This window comes from Homo sapiens, chromosome 6, assembly GCF_000001405.40.
Source record: "Homo sapiens chromosome 6, GRCh38.p14 Primary Assembly".
Lineage (NCBI taxonomy): Eukaryota > Metazoa > Chordata > Mammalia > Primates > Hominidae > Homo > Homo sapiens.
Window position 1 is genome coordinate 16,224,806 of NC_000006.12, and position 18,479 is coordinate 16,243,284.

The 18,479-nt window shown below is 47.3% G+C and overlaps 1 protein-coding gene across 2 annotated transcripts in view, besides 2 other annotated features; it reads left to right on the plus strand.

Annotated features, from left to right (window-relative positions):
* Positions 13,565-13,664: a silencer, noted in NCBI's record as "silent region_16956". NCBI's record gives its function as "represses an Ori minimal core promoter by ATAC-STARR-seq in GM12878 lymphoblastoid cells {active_cell/tissue: GM12878}" and the evidence as "EXISTENCE:reporter gene assay evidence [ECO:0000049][PMID:35858748]".
* GMPR (guanosine monophosphate reductase) overlaps positions 13,782-18,479 on the plus strand; it is a 56,963-nt gene continuing 52,265 nt past the window's right edge. For both annotated transcript variants that reach the window (NM_006877.4, XM_047418656.1), the window contains exon 1: positions 13,782-13,975. In NM_006877.4, the coding sequence (NP_006868.3) occupies positions 13,889-13,975 (87 nt within the window). In that variant the 5' untranslated portion in view covers positions 13,782-13,888. The remainder of the gene's footprint in view (positions 13,976-18,479) is intronic.
* Positions 13,785-13,884: a silencer, noted in NCBI's record as "silent region_16957". NCBI's record gives its function as "represses an Ori minimal core promoter by ATAC-STARR-seq in GM12878 lymphoblastoid cells {active_cell/tissue: GM12878}" and the evidence as "EXISTENCE:reporter gene assay evidence [ECO:0000049][PMID:35858748]".

Consider the following 18,479-nt stretch of genomic DNA (forward strand, 5'->3'; position numbering starts at 1 on the left):
TGTGCTAGGGTGCTATGATATGCAATACCGACAGTCTTTCTCTGGGGTCCCAGGGGAACAAAGTGGAGTTACTCTTGGCATGCATACTTATTTGTAGTTATTTCTATAGTATCTTTCCAAAGGTAAGTTTCCACAGACGGGTGAGTCTTGGTATGCTACCTGACAAGCATCAAAATACAGAGAAATAGGCCCTCAGTAAAAGGGAGGCACCCTGGTTTGGTTTAAGAGGGGACCTTCTTTTGACCCTGCACGAATTTCAAACCATTCACCAATTGAAAACTTGGGGTCAGTCATTTATGCAGCCAACAGACACATGAAAAAATGCTCATCATCACTGGTCACCAGAAAATGCAAATCAAAACCACAATGAGATACCATCTCACACCAGTTAGAATGGCAATCATTAAAAAGTCAGGAAACAACAGGTGCTGGACAGGATGTGGAGAAATAGGAACACTTTTACACTGTTGGTGGGAGTCTAAACTAGTTCAACCACTGTGGAAGATAGTGTGGCGATTCCTCAAGGATCTAGAACTAGAAATACCATTTGACCCAGCAATCCCATTACTGGGTATATACCCAAAGGATTATAAATCATGCTACATAAAGACACATGCACACATATGTTTATTGCTGCACTACTCGTAATAGCAAAGACTTGGAACCAACCCAAATGTCCATCAATGATACACTGGATTAACAAAATGTGGCATATATACACCATGGAATACTATGCAGCCATGAAAAAGGATGAGTCCATCTCCTTTCTAACAACATGGATGAAGCTGGAAACCATCATTCTGAGCAAACTATTTCAAGGACAGATAAACACTGCATGTTCTCACTCATAGGTGGGAATTCAATGGGAAAACTTGGGACAGAGCAGGGAACATCACTGACCAGGGCCTGTCGTGGGGTGGGGGGCAGGGGGGAGGGATAGTATTAAGGGAAATACCTAATGTCAATGACGAGTTAATGGGTACAGCACACCAACATGGCACATATATATATATACCTGTGTGACAAACCTGCACATTGTGCACATGTACTCTAGAACTTATAATAAAAAGAAAACTTTAAGATCATAAGGTTGGTTATTTCCTGGGTCACAAATTGAGTACGTGGTCTGATTATAAACACAAGTTCCTAAGCAAGTCCCTGTACACCAATAATTATGGTACAACAGCGTTCTGGTTATACTGTTCCCAGACGAAGTAGTATGTGTACAGTGAGGACACCCTTCTGTGGGTGCTTGTGTCTACAATTGGTGGGTTTTATGGTCTCACTGACTTCAAGAACAAAGCCGCTGACCCTTGTAGTGAGGGTTAGAGTTCTTAAAGGATGCATATCTGGAGTTTGTTCCTTCTGACACTTGGATGTGTTCAGTTTCTTCCTTCTGGTGGGGTTCGTGGTCTCGCTGGCTCAGGAGGTAAGCTGCAAACCTTCGCGGTGAATGTTACGGCTCTTAAGGCAGGGCATCTGGAGCTATTCACTCCTCCCAGAGAATTCATGGTCTTGCTGGTTTCAGGAATGAAACTGCAGACCTTCACAAATGAGGGTCACAGCTCATACAGGCAGTGTACACCCAAAGAGCGAGCAGCAACAAGACTTACTGCAAAAAACAAAAGAACAAAGGCAAGCGCAGCAGGTTGCTATTGCTGGCTCGGGCAGCCTGCTTTTATTCTCTTATCTGGCCCCACCCACTTCCTGCTGATTGGTCCATTTTACAGAGAGCCAAGTGGTCTGTTTTGACAGGGTGCTGATTGGTGCGTTTACAATCCCTGAGCTAGACATAAAGGTTCTCCATGTCCCCACTAGATAAGCTAGATACAGAGTGTCAATTGGTGCATTCACAAACCCTGAGCCAGACACAGGGTGCTGATTGGTGTGTTTACAAACCTTGAGCTAGATACAGAGTGCTGATTGGTGTATTTACAATCCCTTAGCTAGACATAAAGGTTCTCCAAGTCCCCACTAATCAGGAGCCCAGCTGGCTTTACCCAGAGCATCCCGCACTGGGGCTGCAGGTGGAGCTGCCTGCCAGTCCCATGCCATGCGCGCCGACACTCCTAAGCCTTTGGGTGGTCAATGGAACTGGGCGCCGTGTAGCAGGGGGCGGCACTCTTCGGGGAGGCTTGGACAGCACAGGAGCCCACGGAAGGGGGTGGGGAGGCTCAGGCATGGTGGGCTGCAGGTCCCCAGCCCAGCCCAGCCCCGCCCCGCCCCGCCCCGCCCTGCGGGGAGGCAGTAAAGGCCCGGCGAGAAATCGAGCGCAGCGCCGGTGGGCCGGCACTGCTGGGGGACCCAGCCCACTCTCCGCACCTGCTGGCCCAGGTGCTAAGCCCCTCATTGCCCCGGGCTGGCAGCCGGCCAGGCGCTCCGAGTGCGGGGCCCGCCATGCCCACAGCCACCCGGAACTCGTGCTGGCCCGCAAGCACCGCGCGCAGCCCGGGTTCCGCCCGCGTCTCTTTCTCCACACCTCCCTGCAAGCTGAGGGAGCCGGCTCCGGCCTCTGCTAGCCCAGGAAGGGGCTCCCACAGTGCAGCGGCGGGCTGAAGGGTTCCTCAAGTGCCGCCAAAGTGGGAGCCCAGGCAGAGGAAGCGCCGAGAGTGAGCGAAGGCTGTGAGGGCTGCTAGTACCACAGCTGCCAGCATGCTGTCACCTCTCACTTCTAGCATGGTTAAGGGGGGTAACAACAACAAAACAATGCACAGCATATTCATATCCAGCAAGGACAAAAGAGGTTCTTACCTGGGGAAGGAGGTTGAGCACAGCAACAAAACAATAGTAAAACAGTATTACAGGAAAGCTTCTAGTCCTAAGATTTCTAGCTACATTTACTTGCTTGACGAATCAAGCTTCAGTCCTGCATAGACTAGTCAGCTTCTGGTGTGTGACTAGAGCAAGGATTGTTGTTTCCTCAAGCTTCAGCCATGCATAGACTGGTCAGCCTCCGGAGTGAGCAGAGCAGGGCTGTCGTCCTCAGCAGCAACTCGGTCTTGTCGCAGGATCAGCCGGGTCAAATGGTCTGGGTTCTGCTGACTGGTTTACTTGTACCTGAGCTGCCAGTTTCAGCCAACTGTGGTGGATCCAAGGCATAACACCTGCAACTTTAACAGCAGTAGGAGTGAACAAGATTACCGTATGGGGCCCATCCCACATGGGTCTTAGGAAGTTGGGTTCTACTTTTTAACTTAAACAACAGAATCTCTAGGTTTAAATGGGTGTCAGGTTTATAGGCATTTTTTCATGTACCTAATTATGAACACTTCGCATGGCTATTTCTAAAGCCTGCATTTGTTTTCTTAAAGTTAATCCCCTAGTTCCTGGAGATCACCTTTAATTTGACCTATGGTTTTGGGGTGGCCAACTGAACAAAATCTTATAGGGCAAATACCCAGTTTGTTTGGTGGGGGTGCACCTGACTCAGAGGAGGACCACAGGCAAAACCTGATCCTATCTCAGATGAGGTTCCTGGCAATATTTCTTCAGTAGCTGCTTGAGTGTCCAGTTCATGCGTTCCACTTTTCCTGAATTTTGCGGCCGAAGGCTGTGTGTAGCTTCCATTTTATTTTCAACAGTTTTGTTAAATCTTGCACTATTTCAGCTACAAATGCCGACCCATTGTCTGACTTTAAAGTTAGAGGCAGTCCAAACCTGAGGGTAATGTCTCTTAACAGTACTTTAGTCACTTCTCGTGCTTTTTCTGTCCTAGTGGGGGAGGCCTCAATCCATCCTGAAAAAGGTGCAAATAAACACTAGCATATACCAATAGCCTCTGGCGTGAGGCATTTCGGTAAAGTTTATAAGCAAGTCTCACAAGGAATGAAGGCATGGCTCCTTCTCCTGTTCAGTTTCCCAGAGAAGGGATTCTTGTTCTCCCCACCTTTGTAACTTTATATAGTGGCGTAGCCATCAGTGAGAAACTTGGAATCCAGATACACAGAATCCTGCTGCCTTCAACTTCTAATGTGACCATGGGCTCCTGGAGACCTGATGAAAAGGAGCCCGGTTTGTCCTAGTCCTCACATCCTTCAGCTCCTGCCAGCCCGAGCAGATGAGCATCTGGTCTTTCTAAGGTGTGGCAGCCCTTGGCCGATGACTTCTTTATACCACAGCTTTACCACTCTCTTTATTACCTTCTGGACATTTATCCTTCCAGGGTCCTTTCTTTTTCCGTCTCACACATTGATCTCTTTCTAGCCTTGTCGGGCTCTCAAATCCCTGCCTAACTTGACCCCTTCCATGTCCACATCCTTGTCCACGTCCTCTCACATTGCTAATCTCTTTTTCTATAAAGACTGCTGCCAACAGATCCGCATTTTTCTTAAGTCTTTGCTCTGCTTTCTTTTTCCTTCCTGAGTTCTGCTCCTACGGCTGGCAGGGCCAGGCACACGGGCTCTGCCCCCACGCACGCACTGCCATCGGTCTTTTCTGTTTCTTTCCAATTTTCCTTTTTACTTTCTTCTTTCCTTTTTCACACTTACTCTTACTTTCTCCCTTCCTTCGCCTTTGCTCTGCTCCCATGCGGGTCCCTGCCTCCCTCTTTTTCCAGATAGAGCTGGGCTGGGGAAAGGGACTTAACCCTTAGCGTGCCTGGCTGCCTGGTGCCGTGCTTGTTGCTTTCGCTCTTTCCCATTTGTTCCCTGGTCACGGTTAACATACACCTTGGTGGCCACTTTTATAAGCTGGGTGGCATTCATGCCTGAAGTTTCCGCTTGATGTCACCCTGGGCTTGCCCTACAAATGCTGTGTTTACCATGTGCTGATTTTCAGCAGCCTCAGGGTCAAATGGGGTGTAAAACCAGGATGCTTCACAAAGTCTCTGATAAAAGTGACTTAGGCTCTTGTCAGCTCCCTGAAGCACTTCTGAAATCTTCCTTATATTAATTGCTTTCTTTTTATTAGCTCTTATCCCCTGCAAAAGCGACCTTTTGGTACCTCTGCAAACGCTGAAGCTGAGTTGCATCCTCCGGGTCCCCCCTGGGGTCTTGGTCTGGGAGCTGACCCTGAGCGTATGCCTGAGCATTCACTGTGTCTTCTGGTGCCTGGGCTTCCAGCCAGAGGCGAGCTGCCTGTGTTACTCTCCTGCACTCCTCAGTGTTAAATAATGTGAGGAGGAGCTGCCTGCAGTCTGGCCAGGTTGGATTGTGTGTCAGAAAGATGGATTGCCTCAGATCTATAAGAGCTTGGGGCTTCTCCATGTAGGAGGGAGTATGGTGTTTCCAGTTTAAAAGATCAGTGGTTGAAAAGGCTGGTAGACCAAAGTCTGTCGGCCCCCTGGACCTGGCTTTGGTCATCATAATAAATGGGTTCTCGTGTCTCCCTGAGAGGCATTTGCATAGCTCAAGCATGGCGAGATCTGAGATGACCTGCTTGACTATCTTGACTTCCTTCCCTGATCTCTCGAGGCTCCGATTCTCCCCTTTGGGGTGAAACTTGGGGCGTGCTAGCTCCTGAATCTGGTTCCTGGAGGGCTGTTAGCCTCGGTAAAGGGGGGTAGCCTGGGACATATGGAGAAAGAATCTCTGTTCCTTCTGGTAGCTCCTGCAAAACTGGCTTCTCTCGCTTTCTCTGGGACTTCCCTTTAACTCTGTGTCTGCCAGTGAAGCTGCTAAATAGGGCTGGATCCAGGCCGGTCTTGTCTGTGCTATATTTAACCATAAATCAATTTAAGGAAATTTGGGCACCCTGGCTGTCCTCCAACCCCTGTTACCACCTTAAATGCATGGCCAGTTATTCCTATCTATAGTTCTTTTGGTCAGCCATCCCACACTAAAAGGCCATTTTAATTCACAGAGAGTTCCCAACCTTTAGGGGGTTAGCTTAACTCCATAATCCCTTGCAAAACCTTTCTTAAAGTTTTGTAACGTGCACTCCAATGGAGTAAGTTTTGATGACTTTCCTCCTATCCTCCCTTTACGACGCCGCACAATCATTCTCGCACACTCACTCTTCCTCTCGTTTCGGCCGACTATACTGTCTCTTATTATGGGAGTTTTCAGATGCTGCTTGGCTTTGGAGAGTTCTTTATTTCTACTACAACTCTGAGCTGTAGGGCAGCTCCTATTAGCCATATGCAGATCGCCACTAGTCTTAGTTGACCCTACACTTTCTCAGAGCATATAGTCCATGCTAAGAGATCTGTGACTCCCAGCTTCGTGGCTGATTAGTCTAATTAGGCTCCTCCATTCACACATTTTCACACACTTTCCCACTCCCAGTTCCCGTGTTCATAACTGGGGTGGCGTGCCTCTCTTGCCCCCTCTAGTTTCCCAGTTGGGGTGGTGAGCCACTCTCGCCACCTCCAGTTTCCTAGCTGACTTAGCGAGCCACTCTGGCCACTTCCAGTTTCCTAGCTGACTTGGCGAGCCACTCTCGCCACCTCCAGTTTCCTAGTTGGGGTGGCAGGCCACTCTCACCACCTCCAGTTTCCTAGCAGACTTAGCGAGCCACTCCTGTGTCCTGTGTCAGCTAGGGTGTGAGTTTCATCCAAATTGACGAGCCACTCCAGGTGCCCCCAGCCCCTCTGAGTTGGACTATTCAGCCCACCCCGGGAGGTGATCAGGCTCCCCTTCCATCCCATTGGGACAGGTCCTGCCTTGGGCCCTAAAACCTTACTGCAGTTTCTGACGCATGCTATTTCTGAAATCGTCCTGTAGCCCTTCTTTAGGTTTCGTTGTGCTGCTGTGTAGGGGCACTGGGTCACGAGAGAGCTAATCTTCCCTCCGGGCTGAAGTTCTCCTGGCAGCGCCTGAGGTCACAGGTTTTCCGAGGCCCAGGGCTCCAACCCCTAGAGGCAAAGGAGACAGTAAGCCTGCCATCTCCCGTCCCTTCGTGGTCGCCAAAAATGTTGCAGGAAACTGAGGACCGGAGAGACTGATATGGAAAACAGGAGGATTGTTTATTTTAGGTACGCACTGGCTCAGCTTTTTGGATATAAGTCCACTGAGCCAGTGTGTACCTAAAATAAACAATCCTCCTGTTCTCCATATCAGTCTCTCCGGTCCTCAGTTTCCCACAACACTGTCTCAAACAAAAACAAGGCCAGGCACAGTGGCACTTGCCTATAATCACAGCACTTTGGGAGGCCAAGGCGGGTGGATCATCTGAGATCTAGAGTTCAAGACCAGTCTGGTCAACGTGGTGAAACCCTGTCTCTATTAAAAATACAAAAATTAGCCGGGCGTGGTGGTGCACGCCTGTAGTTCCAGCTACTCGGGAGGCTGAGGCGAAGAATCGCTTGAACCCAGGAGGCAGAGGTTGCAGTGAGCCTAGATCACGCCACTGCACTCCAGCCTGGGTGACAGAGCAAGACTCCGTCTGAAAACAAAACAAAAAAAATGAAAACAAACAAACAAAAAAAGTGCTTTTCACAGGAGGGATTATGAGAAAATCAAGAAAAAGCTTTTTTTTTTTTTTTTTTTAAGGCTGGTTAAGTGAAGGAGCGGTACTGGAGAAGGAACAAAGAAATCTGTAACTGGCCGTGATAAATTAGTTGTAAACACCACTGCAAGGAAAAGCCATGCTACATTCTTCTGTCAGTTAAAACTCAATGTCTGGGCTGGAAACACAATTGAATTAAGAAGTGGAGGCTCCATCTCAGTGAAAAATGTGGAAAACAGCATTTTTAATAAACTACCCAACACCAGATTAACTGGATTAAGGGAAGACTCTACGGGAATTTTAATGTGGAGATTATTTTCTTCCCTTCTGCCTTATTTCTGACACAGAAGATTTTAATTAAAAGAAAGATCACCGGGATGGTAATGAGATGATTATGCCAGACTAATTTTGACTCATAATAACAACCTTAATAATAATACCATCACAGGTTTTAATCTCTAATGTTATTTTAAAAATAGAATCATATCCTGAAGGCAAACCCCCTCCTTTTGGTGTTGGATTTAGTAGTCTAAATTCCATTATGATGATACTGACTTGTCTATTTCAATAAGTGAAACAAACATATACATAGACACACACACATTTTCCTGCCCCAAGAGACAAGCAAATTGAATTTATATCTACTTTCTCTGCAAAAATTGAGCTGGAAAAGCGAGGCATTATTCTCAGTGTGTATTGTCCATCAGGGATGGCAAATTTAAACAACTGTTTATGTGCCAGGAGGGTCGAGTCAGGTTTATGCATTAGAGATCACCCATCCACCCCATCTAAAGAGACAACATTGATTCACTCTAGCAGATGGCAGACCTCTGAGGGGATGAACACCCTGCTAGGCCTCCCAGTTTTTAAAAGTAAGCTGGCTGGCCAGGTGCGGAGGCTCACACCTGTAATCCCAGCACTTTGGGAGGCCGAGGCAGGCGGATCACGAGGTCAAGAGATCAAGACCATCCTGGCCAACATGGTGAAACCCCGTCTCTACTAAAAATACAAAAATTAGCCGGGCATGGTGGAGCACACCTGTAGTTCCAGCTACTCCAGAGGCTGAGGCAGGAAAATCATTTGAGCCCGAGAGGTGGAGGTTGTAGTGTAGGTTGTCTATTCATGCCCTTAGCCCACTTTTTGCAATTGTGAATTGTGCTGCTATAAACGTGTGTGCAAATATCTTTTTCGAATAATTTATTTTCCTCTGGGTAGATATCTAGTAGTGGGATTGCTGGATCAAATAGTAGTTCTGCTTTTAATTATTTAAGGAATCTCCACACTGTTTTCCATAGTGGTTGTACTAGTTTATATTCCCACCAGCAGTGTAGAAGTGTTTCATGTTCACCGCATCCACACCAACATCTATTGTTTTTTTTTTTTTTTTCATTTTTCTTTTTAGGATGGAGTCTGACTCTGTCACCCAGGCTGAAGTGCAGTGACGTGATCTCTGCTCACTGTAACCTCTGCCTTCCGGGTTCAAGCAATTCTTCTGCCTCAGCCTCCCGAGTAGCTGAGACTACAGGCACGTGCCACCACGCCCGGCTAATTTTTGTATTTTTAGTAGAGATGGGGTTTCACTGTGTTAGCCAGGATGGTCTGGATCCACCTGCCTTGGCCTTCCAAAGTGCTGGGATTACAGGTGCAAGCCACCGTGCCCAGCCACCAACACCTAATGTTTTTTGATTTTTTGAGTATGGCCATTCTTGCAGGAATAAGGTGGTACCGCATTGTGGTTTTGATTTGCATTTCCCCCATCATTAGTGATGTTAAGCATTTTTTTGTGTGTTCGTTGTCCATTTGTATATCTTCTTTTGAGAATTGTCTATTCATGCCCTTAGCCCACTTTTTGATGGGATTGTCTTTTTCTTACTGATTTGTTTGAGTTTGTTGTAGATTCTGGATGTTAGTCCATTGTCAGATGTATAGATTGTGAATTTTCTCCCACTCTGTGGGTTGTCGGTTTACTCTGCTCACTGTTCCCTTTGCCATGCTCTTTAGTTTAATTAGGTCCCAGCTATTTATCTTTTTTTTTTATTGCATTTGCTTTGGGTTCTTGGTCACGAAATCCTTGCCAATGTCTAGAAGGGTTTTTCCAATGTTATCTTCTATAATTTTTATAGTTTCAGGTCTTAGGTTTAAGTTCTTAATCCACCTTCTTCTTCTTTTTTTGAGATGGAGTCTCACACTGTCGCCCAGGCTGGAGTGCAGTGGCCCAATCTCGGCTCACTGCAAACTCCATCTCCCGGGTTCAAGCAATTCTCCCACCTCAGCTTCCCGAGTACCTGGGACTACAGACCGGTGTCACCATGCCCAGCTAATTTTTGTATTTTTAGTGGGGACAGGGTTGCACCATGTTGGCCAGGCTAGTCTCAAACTCCTGACCTCAGATGATCTGCCTGCCTCAGCCTCCCTAAGTGTTGGGATTACAGGCATGAGCCACCTCACCCGGCCCCTTAATCCATGTTGAGTTGATTTTTGTATAAGGTGAGAGATGAGGATCCAGTTTCATTCTCCTACATGTGACTAGCCAATTATCCCAGCACCATTTGTTGAAAAGGGTGTCCTTTTTCCACTTCATGTTTTAGTTTGCTTTGTTGAAGATCAATTGGCTGTAGGTATGTAGGTTTATTTCTGGGTTCTTTATTGTTTTCCGCTGGTCTATGTGCCCATTTTTATACCAGTACCAGCACCATGCTGTTTTGGTGACTATGGCCTTATAGTATAGTTTGAAATCAGGTAGTGTGATGCCTCCAGATTTGCTCTTATCCCTTAATATTAAATACTATAATTCTGAATTATCAAAAAGCCTTTAATACTTAACTTTATTTCTGGGTTTTGAGAGATACTTATTTACTAAAAATAAACCATTTTATCACTTCACATAATTTTAGTTCACTGGTTAATTCTATTAAATATTTAAAGAACTAATCCCAAGCCTACACAAGCTCTTTCAGAAAACAGAGCGTGGAACATTTCCCAACTAATTCTATGAGGCCACTATTACCCTGATAAAGGCATCAAAAGAAAAGAAAACTACAGAGTAATGTCCCTTATAAGCTCAGATGCACAAATCCTTAACAAAATATTAGCAAATAGGATCCATCAATACAAAAAAGGATTATGCACTGTGACCAAGTGGAATTTATCCCACATAATTTTGGAGGTTATCTTCCCATGTAATTTTGGGGATAACCCTCCCCTCCCATAATAAAATGTTAATAAATTGAACTCTGGATATCACTTATGGCTTTGTCTAGACAGTGAAAACTTTAACATAAAGTCATTGTACTGATGGGAAACTATTATTGTTGTATTAGAGTAATGAGAAGCAGAGGATGTTGAAAGGAGTCTCAGTTGGTGTGGGAGTGGAACTGCCCTATGTGTTCTTCTTGCCTGCTGCATAGATAGAGCCAATTTACTGAGACAGCATTACTGCAATACAGAAAGAGTTTAATAAATGCAGAGCCAGCTAACAGGAGACTGGAGTTTTATTGCTCAAATCAGTCTCCCCAAAAATTCAGAGACCAGGCTTTTTTAAGGATAATTTGGTGGGCAGGAACTAGGGAGTGGGGAATGCTGATTGGTCAGGTAAGGGATGAAATAATAGGCTGTTGAAGTGGGTTTTCCTTGCTGTCTTCCGTTTCCGAGTGGGATCACAGAACTAGCTGAGCCAGTTTACTGGTCAGGGTGGTGCCAGCTGGTCCATCAGAATGGGGGGACTGACTGAAACATATCTCTAACACCAATCTTAGGTTTTCAATAGTGATGTTATTCATAGGAGCAACTGGGGAGGTTGGGAATCTTATGGCCTCTGGCTACATGATGCCTGAGCCATGATTTGTAATCTGTAGCTACTTTGTTAGTTTTACAAAGGTGCGCTGGTCCCCAAGCCAGGAGGGGGTTTGTTTTGGGAACGTGCTGTTCTCATCTTTGTTTCAAAGTTAAACTATAAACTCAATTCCTCCCATAGTTAGTTCAACCTACACCCAGGAATGAACAAGGACACCTTGGCGGTTAAAAGCAAGATGGAGTCAGTTAGGTCAGATTTCTTTCACTGTTGTCATTTTCCTATGTCAGATTTTTCTCACTGTCATAATTTTTGCAAAGCCGGTTTTAGAAGAATCAGGGACTCAGGCTGACTCTAACAGGAGTATGATTTTGTGTCAGAGAAGAGGGCAGTTATAGAGGAATGTTCCAGAGGGAGAGGGAATGGAATGTGTAAAATGAACTTCTCTGTCTATTCTAATAAAAGGAGGGCTAGCCAGAAAGAAAGAGAACCAGAGGGAAAGAGCAAGGACAACCTACAGAAGCTTCTCCTTTAAGACCATGTATGAAACAATGAATAAAGCCCTCATCCACGCTGGCAGATGCTTAACAAGGTCAGTTTCTCTTCCCTTTAAGGATAATAATTTAAAAATAATCATACCATCTAGTAATTATATTTTACCTCTATTTAATCTTTAAAAGATCAGAATTAGGTTTCCTTTCCGTACTTCACAAATAAGCAGCACATCTGGCCAGCTCCCAAGAATTCGTCAAGGGTTATAAACATTGCATGGGCTGGACTAATTGTGGCTACTTTCATTCTCTCTGATAAGTTTCATTTCCTTCCCTGAAACTTCATGAACTTCCTTTGGGGTATAGCTAATGAAACCATGTGGGATGGGCTGAGACCTTTATCATCTTCAGACATTTGTGTTAAATTGAATATTGTGATGTATCTTTTATGGTCAGCCTTATCACATGCTAGCTCAAGGAGAACAGTTGCTAGCTCAGTTCGAGGCTGCAGAAAAATGGAAGAGAATGAAAGATGATTCTTGCCTTTGTGCAGTTAGCATTCTAGTTTGAAAATACAAACACAATGCACATAATGTAACATGTGACTACAAATCTGTAACTACCATGCATTGAGCAACTACTATGGGACAGACATTGTGCTTACATAAACACACACACTTTAATTCTCACAAAAACCAGGGAGGAGATAGGGTTAACCCCCCCTCCTGCCCCCACCCCTTTTATGAGAAAACTGAGACTTAGAGAAATTGACTCCCCTAAGGTCACCTAGCTAGACAGTGGTGGAACCAGGTTTCAAACTCAGGCAGAGATGTTCCAGGACAAAAGCAGCTTCAGTGAATAGTTGTAGCAAGTTTTAAGGACTGAGAAATTTATATTGAATTTTTCTGCGGCCTTAGGCAAGTTATTTCATTTATAGAAGCCTCGTTTTTCCTTATCTGTGAAATGGCTCTTTCTTCATTGGGTTGTTCTGAGAGTGAATGAGATGATGCATGAAGCCCGGCAGCACATTTCAAATGTATAATAAAAGGTCGGTAAGGTCAATAAGTGAATCAATGAACTCACATCACTGGTAACCCCTCGAACTCACATCACTGGTAACCCTCAGAGGGGACTCAGGCTCCTCAAATCTCAGGATCTGCGTCGACTACAGACCTCACTGTTTTTCTTAAACAAAAATCCTGAAATCCAGGCTGGGCGCAGTGGCTCACGCCAGTAGTCCCAACACTGGGAAGCTGAGGCGGGAGGATTGCTTGAACCCAGTAGTTCAAGACCAGCCTGGGCAACACAGTGAGACCTTGTCTCTTAACAACAAGTCCAAAGGGAATCATGGCCTCCACAATCCCAGTACAGCTAAACAGTTAACTGCCCACGTTCTTTTCCTTAATTCTATACAACCTCCCTGGGGTTTCTGGTTCTTTGGCAAGTGAGAGACGTGCTCCTCAACACTGGGTGAGCACACCGGGCTTGAATTTTAAAAAAGGAGAATCCGCCGGGCACGGTGGCTCACGCCTGTAATCCCAGCACTTTGGGAGGCCGAGGCAGGCGGATCACTTGAGGTCAGGGGCTCGAGACCAGCTTGGGCAATATGGTGAAACCCCGCCTCTAGGAAATAATTTTTAAAATAAGCTGGGTGTGGCGGCGTGCGCCTGTACTCGAGGAGGCTGAGGCATGAGAATCGTTTGAGCCCAGGAAGTCGAGGCTGCGATGAGCGGCGATAGCGCCACTCACTCCAGCCTGAGCGACAGTGAGACTGTCTCAAAAAAAAAAAAAAAAAAGTAAAAGCTCTCAGGGAGCGACTTTTCCCTTGGATAAGGCAGCCACACGCTAAGTCCCCTCTCCATCGGGGACCCTGGGGACAAACAGAACGGTGCGCATTTCCCTCCCCCGTCCCCATTCGGTCACTGCCACGGGCTGTACACCTGAGGGGGAAGGACGGGGGCGGCGGCGCGAGGAGGAAGGGCTTCGCCGCCAATCTGTCCCTAACCAGTCTGCCTCTCAACCCCTGCCTGAGGCGGAGGCGGTGCCCGGGGCGGGCCAAGCGTGACCGCGGGTCGGCGGGGCGTGTTTAAGACCGCGGCGTGCGCACCCGGCCCACGCCAGCTCCCGGCCGCGGCACAGCAGCCCCGGCGCTCCCCGCGCCGCCCCGCGCAGGCGCCCCCGCCCCGCCGTCGCCGCCGCCGCAGCCAGGAGCCGCTGCACCATGCCCCGCATAGATGCGGACCTCAAGCTCGACTTCAAGGATGTCCTGCTCCGACCTAAGCGGAGCAGCCTCAAGAGCCGAGCCGAGGTGGGGGACGTTCGGAAGTCGCAGTGGGGTGGGATTTTTTTTTCCGGGTGGCGCGGGGCAAGTGGGTGGAAGGGGGTGGCACCGGGTTACCCTGCCTGCTTTGGTGTTTGAGACTGGGGCGCTGCGCCCCCGTTCCCGCGCCCCAGCACCTGCCAGGACGTGAGGTGTCTTTAAGGGCGGTGATACGGGGGCCCATGAAATTCTCTACACGTCGGTCCCGTTGGGTGGCCTAGGGGAAGTTCACAGTGAAACTCGACCACAGATGAGCGAGATCCAGTGGCCAGTTGGTTTAGAAGGAATAGGGGTACGAGGGCGCTTATAGCAAGAAAAGGAAACTGGAGCTAGGGGAGAGAGGACGAGAAAAACAACTGCAGATCCCGGTGATTTTTGGCTGCGTCTCCTAGTGCTGATAATTGCTGCTGCTTTCGCTTCGGGTCCAGCGGTGGAACTTCGTGAACGCGTCTGAAAAACCAGAACCCAGGGCACAAGTTCAGGGTTTCCTTTCTGAGTTTGGCGGCCTTGCTGGCAGTGGGGCTTGGGGACTCAGCGGTACTGGACAGCCCGCGGTCCCAGCCTAGCCCTGGAGAAGAGTTTCGAAAGCTTTGGGGTGAGAGAGGTGGGGGCGAATTGGAAGCCTCGGGCATTTCCCTGGTTCTGCCTGGATGTCCTCAAATCCTAAGGAACAGGTGGAGACCGGACTGGAAATAGCCTGAGGCTGGGGGAAGGGAGGCCAGTCCCTGAAGGATAAACTAGTTGCCTGAAAGGCAGAGTGCCCCGGGGTGGTGTGCGCTGGTGACTGGCTTTGCTGAGAGCTGGAGAGGAAGGTGAGGAAACCGGACACGGTTGAAGGCTGGGGCTGAAGGAGTAAACACGAGGAGGCTGGGCCAACCTGCACAGCTCCGTCCACTCAGCTCCACAAACAAGACCATAAATAAATCCCCTCAGCAAAGAAGTCCGCTGCCCACTCCGGTGCCAGGCCTAACTGCAGTGCCTGGGGCTGCCAGCCGAGGGCTTGCTTGGATTGGGGAAGCCTCCGCGTTAGCCAATGACTAAACCAAGTGGCCTTCTGTAAGCAGCAGCATTGGCTGGTTTGGAGCCCGGCAGGACTGGAGGACGTAGGGGAGGAATGATTAAAACTTATCGCCCCAGATTGGGTGACCCTGTGCCTGTCCCTCATGACCTTTCAGGTGCTAAAGAGGGGGCCTCTCTTGGAACAAAAACAGTTTGGAGGGCAGGCCTGGGCCTCTGGAAGCATGAGCTGTAGCCAATTCCTAAGGCAAGACCAAGATGAAATAGGGGGATTCTGGATGTGCTAATAATTTGGTGGCCTCAATATTCTTTAAATATTCAAAATGTATTTAGAAGAGAGAAACTCATTTTTCAGAAAATTGGATGTTCAAAACAAAGATATACCTATTTTCTGAACCAGAAAACATGTTGAGAAGGTAAAATATTGAACATTAATGTAATAGGGCCAGGCACAGTAGCTCACACCTGTAATCCCAGCACTTTAGGAACCTGAGGTGGAAGGATTGCTTGAGGCCAGGAGTTCGAGGCCAGCCTAGGCAACAAAGCAAGACCTCAGCTCTACAAAAATTTAAAAAATCAGCCAGGGCAGTTGTGCACACCTCTAGTCCCAGCTATTTGGAAGGCTGAGGCGGGAGGATGGCTTGAGCCCACGAGCTGGAGATTACAACAAAAATTTAAAAAATTAGGGCAGTGGTGCTCACCTGTAGTCCCAGCTACTTGGAAGGCTGAGGCGGGAGGATGGCTTGAGCCCAGGAGCTGGAGGTTACAGTGAGCTATGATGGTGCCACTGCACTTCAGCCTGGACAACCCTGTCTCTAAAGCTAAAATGAAATTTATGTAATAGAATGAATTACTCCTTCTCGGGGAATACTATCACATCATGCGACAATGTCATGCAACACTTGGCTTCATAATTTGGGCAGATTGTAACTAATGTTCCAGTTTGGGATAGCATCTTTGCAATCTTCATGTACACATTGCAGTGAGAACTCAGTGCCCTTGAGGAGTCTCTTTTGTATTTTTATGTTCGTGGGAGTTTGCCAGCCACGGGCCTGGAGACTCAGGTTAACCAGCATTGCCTTTCTAATCGGTTGCCGTGATGGTTTAGCTCCCTGATGCGTGAGGCTGCTGCCTGGCTGGCCACCCCCATGATCTGACTTTACTTGCCTCGGTGGCGTTGAGGGATCTAGTTAGGCCTCCCTAATCCCCTCTCAATGTTTTCTCAGTTTGCTTGTTGATGCCTGAAATTTTTCACAGGCAGATAAAAACTTTTCCTTGCACAATCAGAAGCTTAAAATATGTGCATCCTGGCAGAAGTAATATCTGGAGGCAAATTGGAAACTGAAGGGTAGATGACCGACATTGAGCCTAACAGCAGATTTGTACAGAGCCAGGAAAGAGAACGTACACCCTGGGAGTAGAGTCTGGCTGAGGGAGGAGGGTTTTGACAGCTGATGATGGGCTTATCCTCGTGACAGTTTTGCTAAGAGCCAGGCCCAGCAATGGATCATCAGGCTATAGCAGGAAACGGACAGTAAGAGTGATCTCCCCCTCAGAAGCTTCAGGACTCCTGCAAGGACATTTCCACCAGCCTTCCATAAATGAACATGAATGAGATGAATCTGAGGTCACCTCTGAGAGGCAAAGAATACAGGTAGCAGTGGCCCAGGTGGCCTTCGCCTGGATTCTCCAGGGAGGCATTCATCTCTCAAATGTCCAGCCCCTGGCATGGAAGAATAAAGCGCCACAGGGTCATGTGGGGACATTTGGATAATCTTTTTCTGAGAAGTGATGAGTTTGTGGATTGAGACAAGACCTTTGTTTTCATCTGTTACGCTGGGGAGCCTGCATTCTCCCTGAGTGTTTTCTTCCTTAGTACCCATTTCTGGCTCTAACATTCTACTCTAGTCCTTAAGCTAGTAAGAATGTACTTATTTATTTATTTATTTAGAGACGGAGTCTCACTCTGTCACCCAGGCTGGAGTGCAGTGGTGTGATCTTGGCTCGCTGCAACCTCCGCCTCCTGGGTTCAAGCGATTCTCCTTCCTCAGGCTCCCGAGAAGCTGGGATTACAGGCACCTACCACGCTCTGCTAATTTTTGTATTTTTAGTAGAGATGGGGTTTCACCGTGTTGGCCAGGCTGGTCTTGAACTCTTGACTTCAGGTGATCTGCCTGCCTCAGACTCCCAAAGTGCCGGGATTACAGGTGTGAGCCACTGCACCCAGCTGATAAGAATTAAAACAAAAACAAAAAATAAACCCCTAAAAAACTTATTAATAAATTATCAGGCATTGAAGAGAATCGCAGCAAATTACTCATTTTGTTTAAGGACAGAGAAGACACAACAGATGTTCAGTCTGCTTAAAACTTCATAGCAGTTTTTTCCCCAGCAGTCCCGTGAGAAGAGTTCTGGTCTAGCTTTCACCGTCTGCTACTGGTTGGCCTGAGGGGGATGAGAACATGGCAGAGTGGCTGGGAGGAAGGATACCTGTGTTTTAGTCCAAGCTCTGTCACTAATTACTTTTTTTTTTTTTTTTTAACCTTTGCCTGTATGCTGGTTTCCTGGGGCTGCTGTAACTGAGGACCACATACTTGGTGGCTTAAGTAACAAGAATTTATTATCTTACAGTTCTGGAAGGTAGCAGTCCCAGTCCAAGATGTTGGCAGGGTTGATTCCTTCTGAGGGCTGGGAGGGAGATTCTGTTTCTTGCCCTTCTCCCAGCTTCTGCTGGTTTGCTGACAGTTGTCCCCAATCTCTGCCTTCATCTCCACATGAGGTTCTCCCTATGTGTGCATCTGTGTCCAAATTTCTCCTTTTTATTTTATTTTTTATTTATTTTTTTTGAGAAGGAGTTTCGCTCTTGTTGCCCAGGCTGGAGTACAATGGCGTGATCTTGTCTCACCGCAACCTCCGCCTCCCAGGTTCAAGCAATTCTCCTGCCTCAGCCTCCCGAGTAACTGGGATTATAGGCATGCACCACCACGTCCAACTAATTTTGTATTTTTAGTAGAGACAGGGTTTCTCCATGTTGGTCAGGCTGGTCTTGAACTCTCGACCTCAGGTGATTCGCCTGCCTTGGCCTCTTAAAGTGCTGGGATTATGTGCCCTGAAATTTATCCTTTTTATAAGAACATCAGTCATATTGGACTAGGGCTCACCCTCTTGATCTCACCTTAGCTTGATCATCTGCAATGACTCTGTTAACTAAGTAAGGTCACATTTACAGGTACTGGAGGTTAGGACTTCAACATTTTGGGGGCGGGGGGGAGACATAATTCAACCCATAACAGACAGCCTTTGTAAATTTTGGTTTGGAAAATTAAAGAGTTTGGCGCTGTTCTGAGTCATGAATGCGTTAGAATCGCCTGGGGAAACACTCCAAAATACACATAATATGTCCAGCACAAAGGTGGTGATTCATGAAGTTTGAGGCAGCTGGAGCACGAGTATTTTGGAACCAGTTCTAAGAGGA